The following is a 24873-nucleotide window of genomic DNA, read 5'->3' as shown; positions in this document are numbered from 1 at the left end:
ATATCAGATACCAACTATAGACAAATTAAGTATAGCTAATTGGATCTAGACTTTAGTGAAATATTTTCTGGTCTGGTTCTTTCTTCTTTTCCCCAGTTCTACACATGTGTTTTTTTTTTTTTAACTAACAGAATTTTTAACTTTTCATTGGCATCCCTTTGGTCAATTGACGTATATTCTGTAAAGACAGGTACTTATAAGCCAAACCATTCCCTTACTTGTGACAAAGATTCTCTCCTTGTTCAAACCTAGTCAAGATCCTCTGAACCCCCTCCTAGGCCAGACCTCAATATTCGGCTATAAAACTGCAGCCTCTCAGCACAAATGATTCCATTATTTTCCTGCCCCAACACTAAGAGGCTTGAACAAACACCACCACAGTTTCTGGGGTGACCTGATCCCCAAACCCCCTTTAAGGTGTCTGCCTCAGAAAGCTCAGTGCTTCCAGGGGAATTTATTGTTTGTTACAGCCAAAACCTGGTAATAGACAGGTCTCTGAATACTCTCTTAGGGCAGTTACTCTTGAAAGCTTGAAGTTGTAAATATAATACTTTCTTTCTGCTTTTGAGACTGATGTTTCCCACCATCTAGAACTTTCTTCTCAAGAACCTGAGATCTGTCTCTTTGAAATGCAAACTTCAGGGAAATAACTCTGACTCTCTCTCCCAGCCTGATGGGCATCTTGCTCCAACATGTACCACTACCTTCTGTCATAAATATAAGTTCACATCTCCTCCTGATAAGCACCAATTTAAATACACGATTTCTGCTCAAGCCTCCACTTTTTCCTCTTCCTCACTCCCTCATTCTCCCTTAAAAATGTCCAGTACCTCTGTACAAATCAAAGCTGAGTTAATACTGGAACTTCTTCCCCATTGCAACGTGAAGGATAGAAGACTATCCCACTTCAAAATATGCTACTTTAGCATGAGGATTATTTTGAACTGAAGGCAACTGAGAAAAAGCAGATACAAGAAAAATTTTCTGCCTTCTTCCTATTTGCCTAAAGACAAAATATAAATTTGTAAAGATAAAGATGTCCCCTCTTTTTTCTGTAACAGGAAGAACAGAAGTAAATCACCAAAGACTATTTTAGACCCTTGTCAGCTGGAAGTCAACAGAGGACACTCCACAATAAACTTTACTAACTAGCCCTATCTTCCATTAGTTTCCCCCATGTATTTACCTTCTCATGATTTGCCACTCTAGAAACTCTATGTCCTTTTATTTTTGTTTTCTCAATTCCCTAAATGTGTATTGTTCTTTTGTTGGGATCCTACACAAGCCCAAGTTCTAACTCCTGTCTTAGTCTATTAATATTGCTATAATGAAATATCACAGACTGGCTAGAGAAAAGAAATTTATTTTCTCACAGCTCCAGAGGTTGGGAAGTCTAAGATGTTTTTTGATAACAACTTGAATGCTATATTCTCTGAAGGGGTGAATGTTATGTCCCCATGTGGAGAAGGGCCAAAGAGCAAAAATGGTAAAGCTAGTTATCTTTATCTCCTTTATGAGGTTATACTCATTCATAAAGGTGGAGCCTTCATGATCTAATTACCTTTTAAAGGCCCACGCTGTTAATATAGTTTCCTTGGGGATTAAGTTTCAACATTAATTTTAGAGGGAACAGAAGTGTTCAAACCGTAGCACCACCTCTTTCAATTACTCATGTTTGAGTACTCCCATGGGTATGCACATACATTTGTTGATAAATCTGTTTATTTATCTGTCTTTTGTCAGTCTAATTCTCAAGGCTCCAGCCAATGAACCTAAGAGGGGTAGAGGAAAAACAGTATTTTTTCTTCTTTACCAAAGGTTATTGATGAAAAACATTTGTCCTTACCACTTTATCTTTGACACTTGCCAGCATGATGTTCTGCAAACTGAAAACAAAGGAAAAATGCCTCTTCTTGTACCAGTACCAACAACCAAGGCCGAGGACCAAAGGGTTTCATAAAGGGGGTCTGGAAAAGCTCAGAGGGGCCAAAAACTAGTTTCTCTATGTGCTAAAAGTATAATGCATCAAAAAGGAGCAACTAGTTAATTATGAGATTGGCAGATAAACGCTAAAATGGTTGGGTGACTAACTCATGATGTTAAGATTGCAGATTATCTTTTTATCATTTTGTGCTTTTCTATATTTTAACTTATCAAACATAAACAATTATGCTATTAATCAGAAAAATTACAATGTCAGAAGACAGTTTCAAAAACTCTATATCAAAAGTGACAGTGATGCATAGGAGAGAAAGAGAGAGAGAGATCACCAAAATAAAAGAGTAGAAGCGATCTGGCTTTCTTGGTTGTTCTCCCCCTCCAAAAACAAAACCAACCACCTAGTGCCAAGGTGATCACCAGAAATATCTCAGAACTCAAAATTAAGTCTGTGACAATCACTGGGATCACAAAGAAGCGAAAATCTGCCAGCAGATGATAAAAGAAATGGACCACTCTAACTGCAATGCCCCTTCCTGAAGCTGCTAGGTACCACACAGAAAAGTCACCCTACACTCCAGTTTCTACACTGGGAAAAGTAAAATCAAGGCAGACAGCCAAGTTCCCCATCATCTTGGGGTTTTTGTTTTTGTGTTTTGCATGATAACCATTCCTGCCACAACCCATGGGAAGCATTGTAAATGGCCTGTAGGGCAAAAATTCCTGAGGGCAGCTAGAGAAAAAGAGTAGGGTGGGGCTAGTAACATTCAGCTCATAAAATGTGGTGGCTATTGTTTGACTTGGCCAAAAAAAAGGTGGCTATTCTCTGACTTGGCAAAATCAGGGAGGCTGTTTAGCAGCATAATACTGTAGGGTACATGCTCCATGGGTCCTCTGGCCACAAACATCTAGCCAGCCTTCCCGAAAAGCCAGGGGTAATCTTTGGGATCCCCCAATATTCAGGAAGGGCAGACTAACTTTTGCAAGAGCCACGGCAAACCTAGGCTTAGGGAGCCATCTAGTGCCATAAAAGAGGCAGCAATCTCGGGCCAGGGGAACTCAATCAACACAATACCTATGCAGAGACATGCACTAGAAAAAATAAATCAAGCCAAACAGTAAAGACGGAGGTAAATGATTAATCCTTCAGTGCAATGATATAAACAGAGGTTTATAAGAAATAAGAGCAAATGAGGAACCATGAACTCCCTAAATGTAAAAAACAAGAAGGCAGTGACTGATCCCAATGAAATGACAATGTGTGAGCTCTTGGATCAATAATTCAAAATAACAGGTTTGAGGAAATTCAGTGAACTCCAAGGTAACACAGAAAAGCAATTCAGAAATTTATCAAATACATTTAATAAAGAGGTTGAAATAATTTTTAAAAACGAAACAGATATACTGGAGGTAAGAAATACAAGTTAAACTGGAAAATCTATTGAAGGATCTTAATATTAGAATTAATCAAGCAGAAGAATAAGTGAGCCCAAAGACAGGAGATTTGAAAATACACAGTCAGAGGAAAAAAGAATGAAAAATACTTACAAGAGCTAGAGGATAATCTCAAAAGAGCAAATCTAAGAGTGACTGGCCTTTGAAAGGGAACTGAAAAATTGTAAGGAGTCAGAAGTTTATTCAAAGAAATAATAAAATAAAACTTTCCAATCCTACAGAAAGATATAAGTATCTAGATATAGGAAAATCAAAGGTCACCAAAGAGATTCAACCCAAATAAGTATACCTCAGGACATATAATGATTGAACTCAGAAAGGTTAAGAACAAAGAGAGGATTCTAAAGGAAAAAGATGCAAATAACGTATTCGGGAGCTCTGATTCATGTGGCAATAGACTTCTCAGCAGAAACTTTACAGGCCAGGAGGAAGTGGGATGACACATTCAAAGTGTGAAAGCAGTAAAACTGTCCACCAAGAATACTGTATTCAGCAAAACTATCGTTTACATATGAAGGAGAGATAAAGACTTTCAGAAAAAACTAAGCTGAATTAATCAACATCAGACCTGTCTTAGAAGAAATGTTAAAGTTTTTCAATTAGAAAGAAAAAGATGCTAATGTTCAACAAGAAAAAATCTGAAGGTATAAAACTCAGTGGTAAAAGTAAGTACATAGACACATTAAAATAGTTTAATACTGTAATTGTGATATGTAAACTACTCATATATTTAGTATTAAGATAAAAAGACAAATCTATCAGAAATAATAACTACCACAATATAAGAGATAAGCCATGTTAAAAATGCATAAATTGAGACAACAAAAAGTCAAAGTGTTGTGGAAATTGAGATAAAATATGTAGTATTATAGTTTATTATTTGTTTTTATTTTTTTAGATCAAACGCATCATTATTATTTTACTTTTCATAACTAAAAGATGTTTTTCTGTAATCCACATGGTAACCACAAAGCAAAAACCTCTAAGAGATACACTAAAAATAAAAAGTAGTGAATTAAAATATATTACCAGAGAAAATCACTTAACCACAAAGGAAGAAAGTAGGAAAAGAAGAATTGAATACAGGAGTAACAAAAGAGCCAGAAAACAAGTAACATAATGGCAGTAGTAAGTACTTACCTATCAATAATAAAATTAAATGCAAATTGACTAAATTCTTCAATTAAATGACACAGAGTGGATTAATAGATTTAAAAAAAAGGACTTGATAATATGTTGCCCACAAAAAGCTCAGTTCATCTGTACAGAAACACATAAACTGAATGTAAGGGGATGGAAAATGATATTCAATATAAATTAAAACCAAAGAAGAGAAGGAAAAGCTATACATATATCAGATAAAATATACTTTACCTCAAAAACTATGAAAAAAGGCAGAAAAGGTCATTATATAATGACAAAGAGTCAATTCATAATAAAAATATAAAAATTATAAATATATATGCACCCAACACTGGAGCATCCAAATATATAAATCAAATATTAATAGATCTAAAGGGAGAGATATACTGCAATACAATAATAGCAGGGAACTTCAACACCCCACTTTTAGCAATGAACATACCATCCAGACAAAAAAAAAAAATCAACAAAGAAACATTTAAGTTACAACTATTCTCTAAACCAAAAGGACCTAACATTTACAGAATACATATTCTTCTCATTAGAACATGGATCATTCTGCAGAATAACCATATGTTAGGCCACAAAACAAGTTTCAATAAATTCAAAAAAGTTTAAATCATATCAAGTATCTTTTCTGACCACAATTGAGTAAAAACAGAATTCAATAACAAGAAAAACTTTAGGAATCTTACAAATACATAGAAATTAAACAACATGTTCCTGAATTACCAATGAGTCAAAGAAGAAATTAAGAAGGAAACTTTGAAAGTTTTTGAAATAAATGAAAAATTGAAACACTACATACCAGAAACTACAAGATACAGCAAAAGTAGTACTAGAGGAGTTTATAGCAATAAACATCTACATTAAAAAAGCAGAAACAGTTCAAATAAGCAAGACAATGATTCACCTTAAGGAACCAGAAAATCAAGAACAAACCAAACTCAAAATTAGTAGGAGAAAATAAATAATAAAGATCACAGAAGAAATAAATGAAATCGAGACTACAAAACAATACAAAAGATAAATTTTAAAAAGTTAGTTTTTTGAAAAGATAAACAAAATCAACAAAACTTTACATACACTAAGAAAAAAAGAGAGAAGACCCAAATTAATAAAATCAGAGATGAAAAAGAGACATTACAACTGATAGCACAGACATAAAAAATGATCAGTAGAGATTACTATTATATAATGACAAAAAAGTTAATTCATAATAAAAATATAACAATTGTAAGTATATATACACCCAACACTGGATCATCCAAATATGTAAATCAAACATTAATAGATCTAAAGGGAGAGACAGACTGCAATACAATAACAGTAGGGAACTTCAACACCCCACTTTTAGCAATGGGCATACCATCCAGGCAAAAAAAAAAAAAAAAAAATCAATAAAGAAACAATAAATATGCCAATAAATTGGAAAACCTAGAATAAACAAATAAACTTCTGGACACATACAACCTACCATGATTGAACCATGAATAAATAGAAAATCTGAACATACTAATAGCAAATAATAAGATCAAAGCTGTAATAAAAATTGTCTCACCAAACAAAAGCCCAGGACCTGCTGGATTTATTAGTGAATTCCACTAAACTTTTAAAGAGCTAATACCAATTCTACTTAAACTCCAAAAACTTTGAAGAGGAGAAAATACTTTCACATTTGTGCTTTGAAGCCATCATTACCCTAATAGCAAAACCAAGTAAGAACATAAAAAAAAAAAAGAGAGAAAGAAAACTACAGGCCAATATCCCTGATGAACAAACATAAAAGTAAAAATTCTCAGTACTAGCAAACTGAATTCAATAGCACATCAAAAAGATCATTCCCCATAATCAAATAGGATTCAGCCAGGAATGCAAGCATGGTTCAACATACACACATCAATCAATAAACATGATATATCACATTAACAGAATAAAGAACAAAAATATAATAATTTCAATCCATGCTGAATAATCATTTTATAAAATTCAACATCTCTTCATGAGGAAAACTCTCAAAAAATTGGATATAAGAGAAACATAGATTGAAACAATAAAGGTCGTATATGACAAACCCGCAGCTAACTTCATACTAAATGGGGAAAAATTGAAAGCCTTTACTCCAAGGTCTGGAACACAATAAGAATCTCTATTTTCACTACTTTCCCTCAATATAGTACTGGAAGTCCTACCCAGAGAAATTAGCCAAGAGAATAAAAATCAAGGGCATCCAAATTGGAAAGAAAGACATCAATTTGTCTTTTTTTGCAGAAAACATAATCTTATATTTAAAAAAATCCTCAAGACTTAGCCAAAAAACTGTTAGAACACATAGACAAATTCAGTAAAGTTGCCAGATATAAAATACACATAAAATAAGTAGCATTTATATGTGTTAGCGAATAATCAGAAAATATCAAGAAAGCAATCCCATTAACAATAGCTACAAAAAAATACCTAGTAATAAATTTAATCAGGAGGTAAAAGATCTCTACAATAAAAACTACAAAACATAATGAAAGAAATTAAAGGACACAAATAAATGGAAATCCCTTCTATATCCATGGATTGGAAGAATTAATATTGTTAAAAGGTCCATATTATTTAAGGTGGTCTAGAGAATCAGTGTAATCCCTATCAAAATACCAATGATATTTTTCACAGAAATAGGAAAAAACAATTCTAAGATTTGTAAGAAAGCACAAAAGACCCCAAATAGTCAAAGCAATTCTGAGCCAAAAGAATAAAACTGAAGGCATAACACTGCCTGACTTCAAAATATACTGCAAAGCTATAGTAACCAAATAAACACAGTAATGGCATACATAAAAGCAGACACAGAGATCAGTGGAAAAGAATAAAGAACTCATAAATAAATTTATTTATTTATTAATACATCCAACTCACTTTAGACAAAGGACCAAGAACACACACCGAGGAAAGGACAGTCTCTTCAAAAAATGGTCTGGGAAAACTATATTCATATGTAGATGAATAAAACTAGATCCATATATCTCACCACATATAGAAATCACATCAAAATTGATGAAAGGCTTAAATGTAAGACCTGAAACTATGAAACTACTAGAAGAAAACATTGAGTAAGTGCTTCAGGATGTTGGTCTGGGCAGATTTTTTTTATTAAGACCTCAAAAGCATAGACAGCCAAACCAAAAATAGACAAATTCAATTATTTCAAGCTAAAAAGCTCTGTACAGGAAACAAAACAATCAACACAGCGAAGGGACAAGCTACAGAATGAGAGAAAATGTTTACAAACTGAACTGTTCCTCTGACAAAGGTTCAATAAGCAGAATATATAAGGAATTCAAACTACTAAACAACATAAAAGACAAATAATCCAATTAAAAATGGGCAAATGATCTGAATAGACATTTTTCAAAAGAAGACCTACAAATAGGCAACAAGTATATGAAAAAATACTCAACATTACTAAATATTAGGGAAATGAAATAAAAACCATAATGAGATTATCTTACCCAGGTTAAAATAGCTATTATCAAACAGACAAAAAATAAAAAATGTTAGTAAGGATGGGGAGAAAAGGGAACTCTCACACACTGTTGGTGGGAATTCATATAATCATTATGGAAAACAGTATGAAGATTTCCCAAAAAACTAATAATAGAAATACCATAAGATCCAATAATCCCAGTGCCAGTTATACATACAAAGGAAAGAAAATCAGTATGTCAAAAGATTACCTGCATTCCCATGTTCATTGCAGCACACTATTCACAATAGTCAAAATATGGAATCAACTTGCGTCCACCAACAAATGAATGGATAAAGAAAATGTGGTATATATACATAATGCAATACTATTCAGTCATAAGAAAAGAATGAAATTTTGTCATTTGCAGTAACACAAATGAGTCTGGGGAACATTAGGTGAAGTGAAATAAACCAGGCACAGAAAGAGATTATTGCATGTTTTTCCTCATGCATGTGAACTAAAAAAGCTGATATCATGGAGGTAGTGAGTAGAATGGTAGTTGCCAAAGTTTTGGAAGGGGAAGGAGAAGAGAGGGATGAAGAAAGACTGGCTAATGGGTATAGAAATAGTCAGATGAAAGGAATAAGTTCTTGTGTTTTATAACCCAGTATGATGACTGTAGTTAACAAGAATGCATAGTATACTTCAAAATAGCTACAAGAGAAGATTTTGAGTATTCCCAACACTAGGAAATGATAAATACTTAAGATGATGGATATCTCAATTACCCTAATTTGATCATTACATGTTATATATATGGATCAAAATATCACATGTGCTTCATAAATACATATAATTATTACATATCAATAAAAAAAATGAAAAAAGAAAAGAAAACAGAGAAGGAAAGAAGATAGGAAGGAAGATAGGGAGAAAAGAAAAAAGGAAGGAACAAAAAAGGATCTTTTCACTGAAGTCAACCAAATCCAAATTCAAATTTTAGCTTTGCCTATTGCATGATCTTAGGCAGGTAATTTAGCATCTTAAAACTTCAGTTTACTTAAAAATTGACAAGATAACCCTTAACTCATATGGCTGTAAAAAAGGTGAAATAAAACATATTTATATAAATTTAAAAGAATTTTCATTGTTATTATCAAGGTGAATCTTTGCCTTCCCAAAGTTTAAAGCCTATCCTGAATCCACTCTGGTACTGCTGTCTTAACCTTTAATTCATGGAGACACTGTGGTTTGTAGCCCTGACACTCATTTCATAGATACTTAAAGACCTAACAAAGAATAAGAAAAACCTCATGTGCATTCATGTAGTGGACTTTTCACATGTAATGTATGGCATCTATTAGCAACAACAATAATTATGATGATGATAACAATAAATAATTCCTGTAACCTTAGTCTCTGTCAGGTTCTGGGTTAATCACTTTATATGCAATATTTGACATTATCTTCACAGTGACCTAAGGAGGTAGATACTATTATTACACGCTAGTAACTTGCTCAACATCATTGAGCTAAAAACTGGTAGCCCTGGGTCTCTAACCCAATCTTTGAATCTTCAAAGTTTCAACAATCTTTGAAGTTGTTTATACAACTTCAAAGAGTAGCCTTCTGACCACTTTGTCATCTACAGAATGAAATAAGTACATTTCTGTCTAAGGTATATTTCCAATTTCTTTTTCTTTTCACAATCTTGTTCTTACATAAAACTGCAGTCTACCCTTCATATTCCAGTTCTGCATCTGTGTATTCAACCAACCACAGATGGAAAATATTTGGAAAAATAAAAAATAATAATACAATATTTAAAAATAACGCTAATAAAAACACAGTGTAACAACTATTTACCTAGTATTATAAATAATCTAGAGATGATTTAAAGTATACAGAAGGATGTGCATGGCTTATATGCAAGTATACCATTTTATATAAAGGACTTGAGAATCACAGGGGATTTTTGTATCTGCAGGGGTCCTAGAACTAATTCTCCACAGATTCTAAGGGACAGGTATATATTGAACTCTACATTGTGTGTCATCCTTTCCCTGAGGCATGACAGAAACAAAAAAAGTCCAAACTCTACAAATAAATCTGGTCATGGGAGCTGAAGAAACCACCAAATCTGTGACCAAATTACAATTCTGATGTGTGTTACAATACCTGCTTCACAGATACCACAGGCAGAAATGCTGCTGTCACAGCATTGTGATTCCATTTTTCACAGATTCTGAAATGCATCCACACCAGGCTGAACTAAATCTGTTAGAAAGTAAATCAGTACTCCAGTTAACTTTTTAATCATGTAACTCTGGCTAATCAGAATGAAGGCAATTCTGAATTGTCTGCATACAACTATATTTGTATGCCATCAATACATCAATTCCTTGAAGATAACGCCTTTGCTTTCATTTAATAAAATCACATCTTACAATATCAAATTAATGAATTTGGGGATTCTAGGAACACACACTGTCTTTACAAAGTTTAAGAAATCATATTGTGCAATAGTTTTAAAGTGTGTTAGATTTTTAATGAGGGTGGTTTTTAGTTTTCAAATTAGCAAAATCATGCACACATTTGTTTCTTCTGCCCTTAGAGATTATAAACACCCAGAGGCAACTCATTTTTTGGAGTATTTGCTGTCAAGAAGCAATGAAGTGCAAATGGAAGCCAATCGAACTTAGCAATTTGTTTACTCAGAAACCAAACAGCTGGAGAAAAAAAATTAAGTATTTTAATAATTAGTCAGTCATGTCAGATAAGGGGCATTCCAGTGTATGATATAGCATTATAATAAGGAAGCTGCCACTTTGGATGCTAAAGAATTAGCAATTAACCTTCTTCAAACTCAAGAAAACATCCCCAGAAAGGAGGGAAAAAAGTTTTTTAAAAATCCTTCGGTTTGAATTATATTTACTAAGTCTCCAGAGTCAAAACAATTATTTTTAAAGTTTTATGAGATGATGTGCTTTCAGTACATTCACAAATAGAAGGCATATGTGAGCCAATGCTAAAGACTATGTATTTAAGAAATTATAAATTAGCATAGTTATCATAGGGAACTGTTGTCAACTATCTGAACAGAAGTTAAATTCTGATAATCCTTTAGCTTTAATGTCTATATCTATTGTAAACTGTAAAAAAAAAAAAAAAGTGCAAGTTAACCTCTGCTGTAGCCCAATTGTTATCTACCTTCTGGTACTACATGCTCAATTAATTATAAGCAACACCAACTTAACTTCCAATCTTTAACCACAAAGTCCTTTCAACATGCACCTGCTCAAAATATTTTTAAAATATAAAAAACACACTCAAAGAAGAGATAGGACCACACACCATTGACATATGAGATTATAACTATGGTCCAGTGAAAACCTAGGCAATAGGAGCCAAGAATGTTGACTTTGTCCAAAGCTCACATCTTCATCTCTGGCCAACTGCCAGCCAAAGGAGAATGTGAATCTTTCCCTTTCCAGAGAAGTATTCCAATTAGCAGTTCAGATGGAGAATTGACTTAAACTTTGGATACTTTGCTTTTGTGTAGCTATATCTAAACATGTACATTAGTCTTTGAGGTCCTTATGAACAACTGGAGCACTAAACTAAATAACAATTATATCACATATATCCCAAGGAGTATAAAAAACAAAGAAGTAATTGTGTGGAGTTGCATTTGGTACCTTCAGGGGAGAAAGAAAAAGAGGTGGATAGAGAGAAAAAGAAGTAAAAAAGGAGTTGAGGAGAAATCAGTACGGTTATAGTCTCACTGGCAATTCTTAAATTTGGTTACAAATCAAAATAACTTGGTACAGTAGCAGTACCTAGTCAGAATAACCCAGAACATGTTGTTGTTGTTGTTACTGTTATTGCATGGCTGCTGCTGCTGCTGCTGCAGCTGCTTTTCCTCAAAAGGTTCTGATATTTCTGACGAAGGACATTTTAGAGCCTGTAGTCTTTGGGTTTGTTTGTTTGTTTGTTTTTGGAGCCTATAGTCTTTGGAACCCAAATCTATCATGTAGCAGAGTTGCTCAGGGACTTCCAGTATCCAGAGGAATAAGACCATGTACTACTAACCTTTATTTCCTATAAAAACAGGCTGTTTTTCTCCCCTTTTGATCCCTGTATTAGTCAGGGTTCTCTAAAGGGGCAGAACTAATAGCATAGATGTGCATATATGTAGAGGAGTTTATTAAGGAGTATTGACTCGCACGATCACAAAGTGAAGCCCCACAATAGGCCATCTGCAAGCTGAGGAGCAGGGAAGCCAGTCTGAGTTCCAAAACCTCAAAAGCAGGAAAGCTGACAGGGCAGCCTTTAGTATGCGGCAGAAGACCTGAGAGTCCCTGGCAAACCACTGGTGTAAGTCCAAGAGTCCAAAAGCTGAAAAACTTGGAGTCTGGTATTTCAGGACAGGAAGCATCCAGCATGGGAGGAAGATGAAGGCCAAAAGACTCAGCAAGTCTGTTCTTCCATCTTCTACTGCCTGCTTTATGCTAGCTGCACTTGCAGCTGATTAGATAGTGCCCACCCAGATTGAGAGTGGGTCTGCCTCTCCCAGTCCACTGACTCAAACATTAATCTCCTTTGGCAACACCCTCACAGACATGCCCAGGAACAATACTTTGCATCCTTCAGTCCAATCAAGTTGACACTCAATATTCACTATCACAATCCCATAGATGTGACTATGATGAGATTTTATCAAAATCACTTTATCATTGTTACTCCTGCCAGAAAGATGGTGCATTACACCTTCCTGGCTTTGATGTAGACAATGAAACTTTCTAATAGATTGTCGATTGCTTTGACACAAAAGCTAGAGAAAATGTAACTTATCCCAGAACCTTTTTCGCAATCTGTCTCCAGCACTGCAGCTGTCAAATCTGGCCCCGAAAATGCCCTTGATTAAAGGAGTCAGCCAAAGAAAGAGTAATAGTCTGCCAAGTTAGGTGGCTATAATCCTCAATATTGGTAATTACACTTCAAATACATTGAGCTTTGTTGTAGAAACTTAGTAAAACTGATTCATCTAAACAAAAGATGATTCAGATCTTGTGAGACTAACAACATTGAGGATGTTCTAAAGTATCTCCTGCAACTACATTACCTTCATTTGTGATTTTTGTCAGATCTCCCATGACAGCTTCTGCCTAATGTGGCCATCTGAGGAAATCTTGGGCAATCATGGAAAATATTACAGATGGCTCATTTTTCTGAGGTAGAGCACCAAGTATGAGGAAATCATAGACAATCAGAAAATACATGTGGCTCATTTTTCTAAGGAAGAATACCAAATTTGATGCTAGGTTTTATTGTTATAACATAAATCTGAGTCCTGTGCCATTTGTGGTAAATAGCTCTGAGATTTCATCAAGAAGAAAAAATTCACCTACTTCTCCTTCAGAGCCAGTCAGAACAATTAACTCATCTGATGTCGTCAACCATTTGCATCACGATCTCATTCAAAGCCTTCCTTGACTTAAGTGGAGTTCTTGTATCTCTGTCAGCAAAAATGCATTACTCTTCACTTTCAGTCTGTCATAGACTCAAGAGTTGGAAATATTTATAGAACTGGTCAATAATACGGGGCTAACTTGTCTCCCATTGGCTAATATCTGGGTCCTTCATTTTTATTTACAAGTTTTTCTCATGAGTAATGGGATGACTTTTTTCAAATTTCTATCACGTACAAATTAATGCATCACTTAATTCCTTCTACAATCAACAGTGTCAAAGTATAGCCTTCTTCTTGTCTGACTTATAGATGGCCTGGGGCTGATGTAGAAACATTACGTTAAAATGGCAGCTTTAGTAGTCTCTGAATAGGGTTCAGTAACTTCCACACTTTTGTCACAATTGGCATCAATTAATTCACGTTATGGAACCATTTATCAAATGTTTAAGAGCTAAAACACAAGGGTTCTTACTTGGAAGAGGGTTATTCTCCCAACCTAGCCAACCCAATTAAAGCTAATTTACCCCCAGAACAAATTAAATCTTGGTTATGGCTTTAAAAAATTCTAATGCCCAAACTCAGTGAGTTTCAACTTCACTCCTTCGGAACCTCCTTCACAATCTATTTAAAAACTGTCTTCAAACCTAATTTCACATTTGAAAAAGCCACATCTAGAAAACTTTTTCCACACGGCATTTTCCAGGCATTCTCAAAATAATTCAGGGATAGAGATGGTGAAATCCTTAGCTTAAAATGTCATTTCAGAAATTAATCCCACCAGAAAGTAATGCTTCTTATATTGACACAGCTGTGGCTAAATTAACTTTTAGACACTGAAGACATTATTAGTCCTGATGCATACATAGTCACAAACAATGTTCTAAGAGAGGGGTTCTCTGACCCTGAGTACACAACCAAACCAGAGCCAGAGGAGCACTCTAAGTCAGCACCATATTGCTTCATTTTTTCATAATGCTATACAAACCTGGTAGACCAGGAAACACATATCCAGACTTTGTTGTTGGAAGCCTAATATTTATTATTATTGTTGGTAATAAAAATAGTTGTCATTTACTAAGTATTTACCATGTACCAGACTCCATGTTAAATATCTCCACATTGTTTATGTGCTTAATAATTAATATTTGGGAAAACATTAATTTTAACATTAGGAATCCCATACAGTGAATATTCAAAAGGAGACCTACTTTTCTATGAAGTCTTTTTCTTAAAATAGCAGAGAAGAACTTGCCTAATTACACAGCTACCAGCATTCTAGAAGGAAAATAGAAAAGAAGTGTGTTTGGGGGAATAAGTCCTGATTACCTGCAACTGGGCAAAGAGAAGTGAATGGAAATCCAAGGAAAGAGGGATAAAAAATGAAAATATATTACAAGACTAAATCTTCAGGAAATATAACAATATCAAGCTATACTATTACTAATTGGAGAGAAGACAGATAAAGAGAATACTTTAATAGGTGGGTAAAGAAGGGTATCTACCACATTCACGTCAAACATGAAGATTAAAGCAAACTAGGTAGGCAGTTTGGAGAGCTTAACTATGGATTTGCATTCACTAAAAAGCTTAGTATTTAAATTCTGGAATTCCTTTGCATGGTATGTTTCATCCATGTTAAAGTGTGATGAAAGTAAGACTAGAAACCCCTGCTTTTATCATACACTTTATCACCAGTTGAAACTTAAGTGAAAACCTTTCTGGGATTCAGTTTTACCAATTGTGCAGTGGAAATTAATCAAACCGCTCTGCCAACAACACACAGCTTTTAAACTACACCATATTGCTTGAGGCAATGGAAAAGAAAGCTCTTTGACATAACAGAAAGCACTATACAAATGTAAAAGTTATTATTCTCATTTTGTGTCCAAATGCAATCAGCTCCAAATTGATAGCTAGATACCACAATCCTTCAAGAGGGGCACTGGACAATGTAAGAAATGTCTAGTATACTACTAGGGTCTGTGCCTCAGTAACTGACAGTGAAAGCAGTATAATGAGAATGGACCAAAAAGATCCATTGAGAATGGTAAACAAAGGAAGAAACATTGGAATATTTCCCTTGTATGCCACTAGTTGGTTTAATTATTCATTCATTAAATCTACTATTTCCTCCCTGCTTGGGATGCTTCAAGCTTATTTTCTCTTATTCCTTGTTGAGTATATATGAAGAATAGAATAGTAATTCCTCACATATTTTCCATAATCAACACCTAGATTTTTCATCTTGAGGAAAAATAACTCCATTAATAACTCCAATGTTTTTCATTCTCCCTGACAAAGATTGTCTCTTTGACCAAATTTTAGTCAGACTCCTCTGAGCCCAATGAGGCTCCATCCTCAGGTATGTTCTCCAAGAACCTGGTGTTAGCAAGAATCCTGTCAAGTTTGATTAGCCAGAGTTCCTTACCCTTGATACGTATTCACCCTCCATATCTGACAGAGTTTCTCATCCTCTACTCGTCTTTTAGAATATGATGACCCTGATCTGCCTTCAGAAAGAATCCTGGTTAGGTCAGTTTAGCCCTAATCCCCCATTACCCTTGACATTCTCACAGTAATTTTCCATCCATTAACCTCTCCAACCCTACCCTTCTCCTTGGCTATAAATAACAGCTTTTACTTGTTGCACTCAAGAGTTGGTCCCAATCTCTCTCCCCTACTGCAAAACCCCGTTGCAAAAGTCCCTATACTATTGTGGCAGTCCTAAACATAGTCTGAACTTACTGTTTTTAATAAGTTTTTTGAATCATTTTTTTCTTTAACCTCCCTCAAGGAGAAATATTTTTCAACTCTCTAATTATCCACATTGAACTTGCCTGGACTATAGAGATGTGGAAACCTGTAATCTCTGTCAGATTCTGTCCAAATGGAGAAAGGTATCTTTGTCAGATATTGTCCCGGGGAAAGCCTTCCTGGGCTTGAAGTCATTTGGGTTACATAGAAACTTTCAGGCCTGAACTTAATTAAGCACTAATTGCTAGTGCCCTTATGCACCTGACAAAAAAATGAAAATCTTTGGAGGAAAGCAACATAATGCTCAATCTTGAATTATTTCAGCAATTAGCTTTTCAAAATACAATTTTCAGCATACAAGCTAAAATAACTAGAGACATGTGTGGACAAAAACTTCAAGAAAGAACCAGCACAAATAACAGACAACTAACTGAAAGTTGATTTGAAAATCTTGTTAAGGAGCTCGAAACTATGAAACATGATATAGATAGCTGTTTGAAAGAGTCAAAATCTTAGGATATTGTCTTAGGCCATTTGTGCTGTTATAACAAAATACCACAGACTGGGTAATTTATAAACAACAGAAATATATGTTCTCACAGTTCTAGAGGCTGGGAAGTCCAAGATCAATGCACTGGCATCTGGTGTCAAGTAAGAGTCTTTTCTCTGCTTTTAAGATGACGCCTTGATGCTACATCCTCTGGATGGAACACTGTGTCTTCTCATGGATGACGGTGAAAGGGAAAAAAAAGTAAACTTCATCCTGCAAGCCCCTTTATTAGCTCACCTAGTCCTATTCATGAGGACAGAGCCCTCATGACTCAATCTCTTCCCAAAGGCCACACCTCCCAATGCTGTTGCTATGGGGATTAAGTTTTAGCATGAATTTTGGAGGGTGGAAAAAAACATTTAAACCATAGAAGATATTACAATAGAATTTAAGAATTTAATGGATACAAATAAAGAGAGAAGAAAGTATAAAGAAGAGATGTGGTAAGAAATGAAGAGCAAGGCCAGGTGTGGTGGCTCACGCCTGTAATCCCAGCACTTTGAGAGGCCACGGTGGGCGGATTACAAGATCAGGAATTCAAGGCCCGTCTGGCCAACATAGTGAAACCCTGTCTCTAATAAAATACAAAAAAATTAGCCTGGCATGGTGGTGGGCACCTGTAATCCCAGCTTCTTGGGAGGCTGAGGCAGGAGAATCACTGGAACCCAGGAGGTGGAGGTTTCCGTGAGCCAAGATTGCACTATTGCACGCCAGCCAGGGTGACAGTGTGAGGCTCCATCTCAAAAAAAAATAAATAAATAAAAAAGAAGAGCAATGAAAGTGATAAATATATGGGAAACTCTACATGAGAAGTGATTGTATAAACAACAATAATAATGCTTTTCAAAAACATACTGTATAAACACACATTTTACATATTACCATTTGTTGTTTTGTACAGTCATGGTTTATGTAGACTTACCCATATTAGCATGTGTGTATGTGTAAGAAAATCATAGCATACGAGTCAGTATAAATGAATTGAAATGTTGTAATGTCCTTGCAATGTCCAGGGAAAGTAAAAAGTGCATGTTGTAATTTCCAAGGCAAGCACACACACGCACATGTATACACACACACAAACACACAGATGATGAACAATTCTAACTGAATGGAAAGTAAAAGTTATCGCCCTAAATAACAAGAAAGGAAAACATAGCCAGAGCTGATTATTTGAATGGGAGGGAGACATGTAAGGAAGGGAAGGACATTAATATCATTTTTACATTAAGGGAAATCAAAAGATGCATAGAAAACTGGTAGAGAGAAATGGGGGTTTAAGAACAAAAAAGGCACACAATTAACCAATACAAAATTAGGAGAAATACTAGAGCTGTCAAAATTGGAAAATATGGAGAGGTGATATGAGGTATTATAAATCAGCTTAATATTCATCTTTTATAATAGGAAATCAAGTTCATAAGTTAGGAAACAGTATTATAAGCATTTCATTTTCTTTAGAGTAATTACCCAAGAAATTGTAATAAAAAAAATTTGATTATACTATCTTAAAAATGGCACTTAGAATGGTGAAAGATGAAATAAGGAGCTGCTGCATTTTATTTGAAGTTTTTCTGTTTAATTACCTTATACTTTGGATAGATAAAAATTTAGATTATATATGATTATATATAATTTTATAGTTTTGTGTTACATTAGCATATGAATATAGCATATTATGTTTACATGTTAATTTATATTACATATAATAAAATTATAGATAGCATACATGATAGTATATGCTATATTATTAACAATATGTTTTATATTAAATATAATTATATATACTTTATATTATATATTTTACTATATATAATATCCACATTTTATATATTTATGTTCATAGTTATGTAGTCCAGCTGGAAAATTAACCTGCTATTATCCTTATGAGCTAACCTTATTTTCACTGATCTTTAATAAAAGGTTGTTAAAATTCAGGTCATATTTTCACAAACTCAGAATCAGACAGATTAGATCTCAAATCTCTCTTCTGTCATAATCTGGCTATGTGAGATATAAAAATTCACTTAACTTCTTTGAGTCTCTATTTTCTTATTTATAAGGTAAGAAAAATCATAACTACTTTCAGAAGTGCTGTGATTGTTGGAGAAAACATATTTAAAATGCTTAGCCAGTGTCTTCATAAAAGTAAACGCTCAAAAAATGAAAATAATGATATCATTTAACACTATTAATATTCATTTATTTAATAAACATTTGGGGAGTGTATTATGTTTAATAATTTTCCCAAGACTGCCCTCAAGAAGTTTGCCATATGATGGGAAGAGGGAGGCAGAGGAGGCTTCATTTACTCGTGGACATATGAACTGCATTGTGACAGATAATAAGCTTCAGATAAGGAAAGGAAATTGCAAGTAGAGGGAACAGCATAGGCAAACAGCATATATATATAAAGTAACATGATATATTTTATGTCTTAGACAAGAAGTTTGGATTTGCTCAACTCTAGAGACAGCCACTGAAAAATTTTAGAAAGACAATCCTGTCAACAACAATAGAAACAAACTGGGGCCAGGCACAGTGTAATCCTGGCCTGTAATCCCAGCACTTTGGGAGGCTAAGGCAGGGAGACCAATTGAGGACAGGTTGAGACCAGCCTGGCCAACATGGCAAAACCCCCATCTCTACTAATAATACAAAAATTAGCTGGGTATGAAAAAATGCTCACCATCACTGGCTATCAGAGAAATGCAAATCAAAACCACAATGAGATACCATCTCACACCAGTTAGAATGGCAATCATTAAAAAGTCAGGAAACAACAGGTGCTGGAGAGGATGTGGAGAAATAGGAACACTTCTACACTGTTGGTGGGACTGTAAACTAGTTCAACCATTGTGGAAGTCAGTGTGGCGATTCCTCAGGGATCTAGAACTAGAAATACCATTTGACCCAGCCATCCCATTACTGGGTATATACCCAAAGGACTATAAATCATGCTGCTATAAAGACACATACACACATATGTTTCTTGCGGCACTATTCACAATAGCAAAGACTTGGAACCAACCCAAATGTCCAACAATGATAGACTGGATTAAGAAAATGTGGCACATATACACCATGGAATACTATGCAGCCATAAAAAAGGATGAGTTCATATCCTTTGTAGGGACATGGATGAAATTGGAAATCATCATTCTCAGTAAACTATTGCAAGAACAAAAAACCAAACACCGCATATTCTCACTCATGGGTGGGAATTGAACAATGAGAACACATGGACACAGGAAGGGGAACATCACACTCTGGGGACTGTTGTGGGGTGGGGGGAGGGGGGAGGGATAGATTTAGGAGATATACCTAATGCTAAATGACCAGTTGATGGGTGCAGTGCACCAGCATGGCACATGTATACATATGTAACAAACCTGCACATTGTGCACATGTACCCTAAAACTTAAAGTATAATAAAAAAAAAAAAATTAGCTGGGTGTGGTGGCACATGCCTGTAGTCCCAGGCTACTCAGAAGGCTGAGGCCGGAGAATCACTTGAAGCCAGGAGGCCAAGGTTGCAGTGTGCCAAGATTTCACCACTGCACCCCAGCCTGGGCAACAGAGGGAGACTCTATTTAAAACAAACAAACAAACAAACAAAAAAGAACCTAGGACACTAGGGAAGAGAAAAGTTGTAAATGATTAAGATACAGGAGAGGATTTATAAGTATATCATAATAATCTGTGAGATAAGTGACAAATACATGAATCACATCAATAGGAAAGTCAAGGAGAGAAGTTTACAATTAAGAAGGTAGAGAATAGGGACATGGACTGATTTAATGTGACATGTGAATTAGAGGGAACAATTTAGGGTGGCTTTGGAAACTGGGTGAATAGTAGTGATTAACTGAAATAGGAATTGCGGATAAAGGAAAATCAAGTTAGGATACATGAGTTTGGGCAATATGCCAGAAATGATGCTAGTAATAGGAGATAAACTAAATATGACATAGACCTTATCCTAGAAATACCGGAATGTCAAGTGCTAATGTTCAGTGGGTAGTGGCTTTATGGTTCTGAAGCTCAGCAGGAAGTCTGGGCCGAGGGTCTATATTTGGCTTGGTACGTAGATAGTGGCTAAAAACATAAGTTTAAACTATTTTTCCAAGGGAAATCTCAGAAAGTGAGAAGAGAATTTACTCCTTGTCTAAGAACCAGCCCTTCAGACCCACTCATTCCACTGTACAAAATTGTATTTTTTCACTCACCAAAAATTTTTTGATTTAACGCCTATTGTCCAAATTCAGTGATATTTTTGCATGTCATATACTATATATATTTATTTACATTCCAAGACTAGAATAAGTATTTCTAGGATGAGGACTATGTCATATTTGCTTCATCTCCTATTACTAGCATCATTTCTGGCAGAGGGAACATCCCAAATATGTGTTTGCTGAGTAAATTCCTCGCACCTCTGGTAGCCTTATAATGTTATTCCTTATCTTATGATTGAATCGCAGCCCCATCTACAGCTTTAATTCAAGCTGTTTCTGTTTCTCTAGATCATACTTTACATCATATTGCATGTTACTACTCAAGTTTCTTTTAATAAATAAATGCTCAATAATAAATGTCAGCGGAAAGTCACCCAGTCAACCATATGGAGCTCACTAATCATGACACAATTCATGAGAGGACAAGTGAAACTTTAAAGAAGCTCAAGGTATATTCCTGCATATGTCTCTCAAATTATCATTGATTAAGAGCCCCTGAGCCAGACATAAAGAGAAAGAGAGGATGACATCATTGGCATTGCAATTATTGTAGTAAATTTAATACTGTCATGTTGGGGGTGAAATGATACTCCTTTTATTTTTATTTTTATTTTTTATTTATTTATTTGTTTTGAGACAGAGTTTCACTCTTGTTGCCCAGGCTGGAGTGCAGTGGCGCGATCTCAGCTCACTGCAACCTCCGCCTCCCAGGTTCAAGCGATTCTCCTGCTCAGCTTTCCAAAGTAGCAGGGATTACAGGCGCCCACCATCACACCCAGCTAATTTTTTTGTATTTTTAGTTGAGACTGGGTTTCACCATGTTGGCCAGGCTGGTCTTGAACTCCTAACCTCAGGTGATCCACCCACCTTGACCTCCCAATGTGCTGGGATTACAGGCATGAGCCACCATGCCTGGCCGATACCCCTTTTAATTGGAATCATATGTCATAGAGGAATGCCCTAGTCTGTGAGAAACTCTTAGCCTAGTCTAAGTCTATCCATCGTGCAAAAATTTAACCAGCAGATATAGCAAAAATGACAATATCCCTACTAGAGGAAAATTCTGACAAGAGTAACAACACTCGGGAAGACATGAGAAATATGTTCTTTGAAAAGTTTCATTCCAAAACAGAGATTTTTCAAAAGGTTGAATGCATTTGGAAAGAGAAGGTCACACTGAAGTCAGCTCCACAAAAAGATTTGCTCACAAAAACACTAGCAACAAATAAATAACATTTGAGAAACAATTGTCTTGCCCTGACTATATACAAATGGAGAAAAGTCTTCAAATGCTTCGATACATTCATTTTGAAATGTTGTCAGCCTCAGCTTTTCCTGGTGATACATACTGGCAATACTTGCACCTTATTGTTTTCAGAGCTATTAACCAAATGTTAAATATTATGCAAGTGCCATCTGAAAAAGTGTGTGTCTGAGATGCATTTATTTTGTAATAAATAACAAGTAGTCACAAGTAACCAAGCAGAACACAATATTTAGAACAAGAGCTACATTTATCAAAAAAGTAAAAATCCAAAAAGTGAGCATGTCAAAAAACAATTGATATATTTTTAAGTAAAAATAACTAAGAGTATGACATGTAAGTAACAATGAATGAGGGTTGTGAAGGACAGACATGTCATAAATTTGAATGCACATTGAACACAAGTAGCAGTGGCCTATTTTCTAGTTTTTCTTATTATCATTATTAATCATAAAGACAGTTAAGAATTGTCTTTCTGTATTTGAAGTCAAACTACCATCCTATGAATCACCTGGGTTGAGTAGCGTATTCCAGTCTTTTGTTAATGAAAGATTAGGCAGTGTTTATAACAGTAAAAAAATATAGTTCATTAGTAAAAAATACCATTAGCCATGTGGGAAAAACAGCCAGAGAAAGCATTCCCAGGCTAGTCCTCCCATGTAGCCAATGATTAGAAGTACAAGCCCCAGGATCTGCTTACAAGTGATAGTTTTTCAGTATCCCATTCAAGTTCAAACTGAATCACGATCCAGCCATTTTCTAACTGCAGAGCCTCAAGTAAATTACCCAACCTCTTTGTGCCACCAGTGTTCTTATCTAAAGTCTGCATGGATGGATGTAATAGCTACTTCATGGGATTATTGCAAAGATTAAATAAAATCATGAAAATACAAAACCAGTACAACACCTGGCACATGATAAGAACTCAAGAAAAGTTGACCATTATTATTATTATTATTCCTGGACCTTACATCCACATAGCCTATATAATAGGGAGTTGACAGTAGACACAAGTCTTACACATATCCAATGTGTGTTGGGTGGTGCCCCTTCCCTAAACTTCTATGTGCATCCTATGTGATTTTCCTGGAGGCTGAGGACCATCCTAAGATAAACATTTGAACTGCATCCACAATTAAGGTTCAGACTTGCATAAGAATGTGTGAGGACCTGGGTAGGGGGTATAGGTAGTGGTGACAAGAGGATGGTTCTTTCAAATTTGCATACAGAACAAAGAGCCCTGAGATGGAATCACTTGAAAAAAGAAGGATCCAGCCAGTGGGCTGAGAGCAGACAAAGGGCATAAGATTACTGAATGAAAAAAATTAAAAGTTACACTATTAACCTCTGTAGTATTTCAGAATCCAAGCAATAATACTGAGGATGTGCCCTGCCCCTGACCTGAGCATAAGGCGGAGGGTGACACCAGTGTGTGAGGTGAATCAGCAGATCTCATCCTCAGCAGGTCAAGACAGCTGAGGGCAGAGCCGCACTGTTCAGCTGTCAAAGATAGCAGCTGCAGAATCCAGGATCTGCAAACAGCAAGGTCAGCAGATCTTCAGGGTGAAGCACTGAGGTGATGGAAGGAGCCTAAATGAAGTGATCAAGGTGGCAACACAGCGCAGAGCAACAGAAATCCACCTTGACGTGCAGACTTAAAGCTATGTTTAAAATAATTCCGAAGTGAGCCCAGCCAAACTCAGTAGAGTGAACTATGCCAGAGGACCTTATAAATTGAGCATAAATGCTGATAGGCCTTCCTCATCTCTGGCTGGCTAATCCTGAGACAACTGGCTTCTGTTATGTTGTGTTTATTGTCTTTCTCAGCAAAGTGTATTATTTTTGTGGCAGCTGTCTAAATTCAGAGTAAAGAGTTTGGCTTGACAAGTTGGTAAACAGATGTTTCTGGTGATAACTGAAGCATAATAGCTCAGATTTAGGAGAGGTTCTTCTCTCCTCCAACTCCCAGAAGCCAGATCATCATGGTTTTGTAGGTTCAGATGTGACAGCTGAGCTGAAAACAAGTTTGTTTGCTCCTATTTGACATAGGAGATGATTGGGCAGGGACACAGAGAGCATACTCAGTGAATTTCATTTCCCATTCTTAACATTATTCCTCAAGTGAAATGTATTTAAAATGAATAACAACTTAAATAGCAGGTGAATAAGGGAGGTTATCAAAAATATGACTATATCATGTATGATTTTTAGTTGCCAAACTACAGTGTACAAAAAATACCATTCTTAAAATTTTCTCAAACTAAAACAAGAAAGTTTTCACACTCTGAGCCCCCATCCCACCAGGCTGGCTGGGGAAAAAAAAAATTCAGACTTTATCCTTCAGGAAATTTCTCATACTTCTGCTCCTTATCCCATCTCCTCCCCACCTGGATTGAGAAAAGGCTGAGAATCTTACAAAAGAATTGATACACTGGGGAGTGTCTTCTGGTCATGACTCATTAGTACCTATTATTTCCCTTGGAGACACATCCAGTCTCTTCAGATCCTGCAGCTTTGCTGCTGCCATGCCATCCTTGAGTCTTGAGTCAGAAAAACTTTGAAGATAGTTGGAGCCTCCAGATTGGGAACTCAGACTCCCTG

At 35.6% G+C, this 24873-nt stretch overlaps 1 long non-coding RNA gene across 7 annotated transcripts in view; it reads right to left on the bottom strand.

The window, feature by feature from the left end:
- Nucleotides 1-16950, bottom strand: part of LINC01709 (long intergenic non-protein coding RNA 1709) — a 147996-nt gene extending 131046 nt beyond the window's left edge. For 3 of the 7 annotated variants that reach the window (NR_183474.1, NR_183476.1, NR_183471.1), the window contains exons 1-2: nucleotides 16821-16950; nucleotides 10172-10270 (exon numbers count right to left, since the gene is read on the bottom strand). This is a non-coding gene — a long non-coding RNA (long intergenic non-protein coding RNA 1709). Of the gene's footprint in view, nucleotides 1-10171; nucleotides 10271-14674; nucleotides 14742-16820 lie in introns of all 7 variants that reach the window. The other 4 variants (NR_183473.1, NR_183475.1, NR_183472.1 and 1 more) reach the window with 2 other exon arrangements.
- Nucleotides 16951-24873: the final 7923 nt, after the last annotated feature.

Source organism: Homo sapiens, chromosome 1, assembly GCF_000001405.40.
Source record: "Homo sapiens chromosome 1, GRCh38.p14 Primary Assembly".
Taxonomy (NCBI): domain Eukaryota; kingdom Metazoa; phylum Chordata; class Mammalia; order Primates; family Hominidae; genus Homo; species Homo sapiens.
The sequence above is the reverse complement of the archived record's forward strand: the minus strand, read 5'-3'. Positions and strand labels throughout refer to the sequence as shown.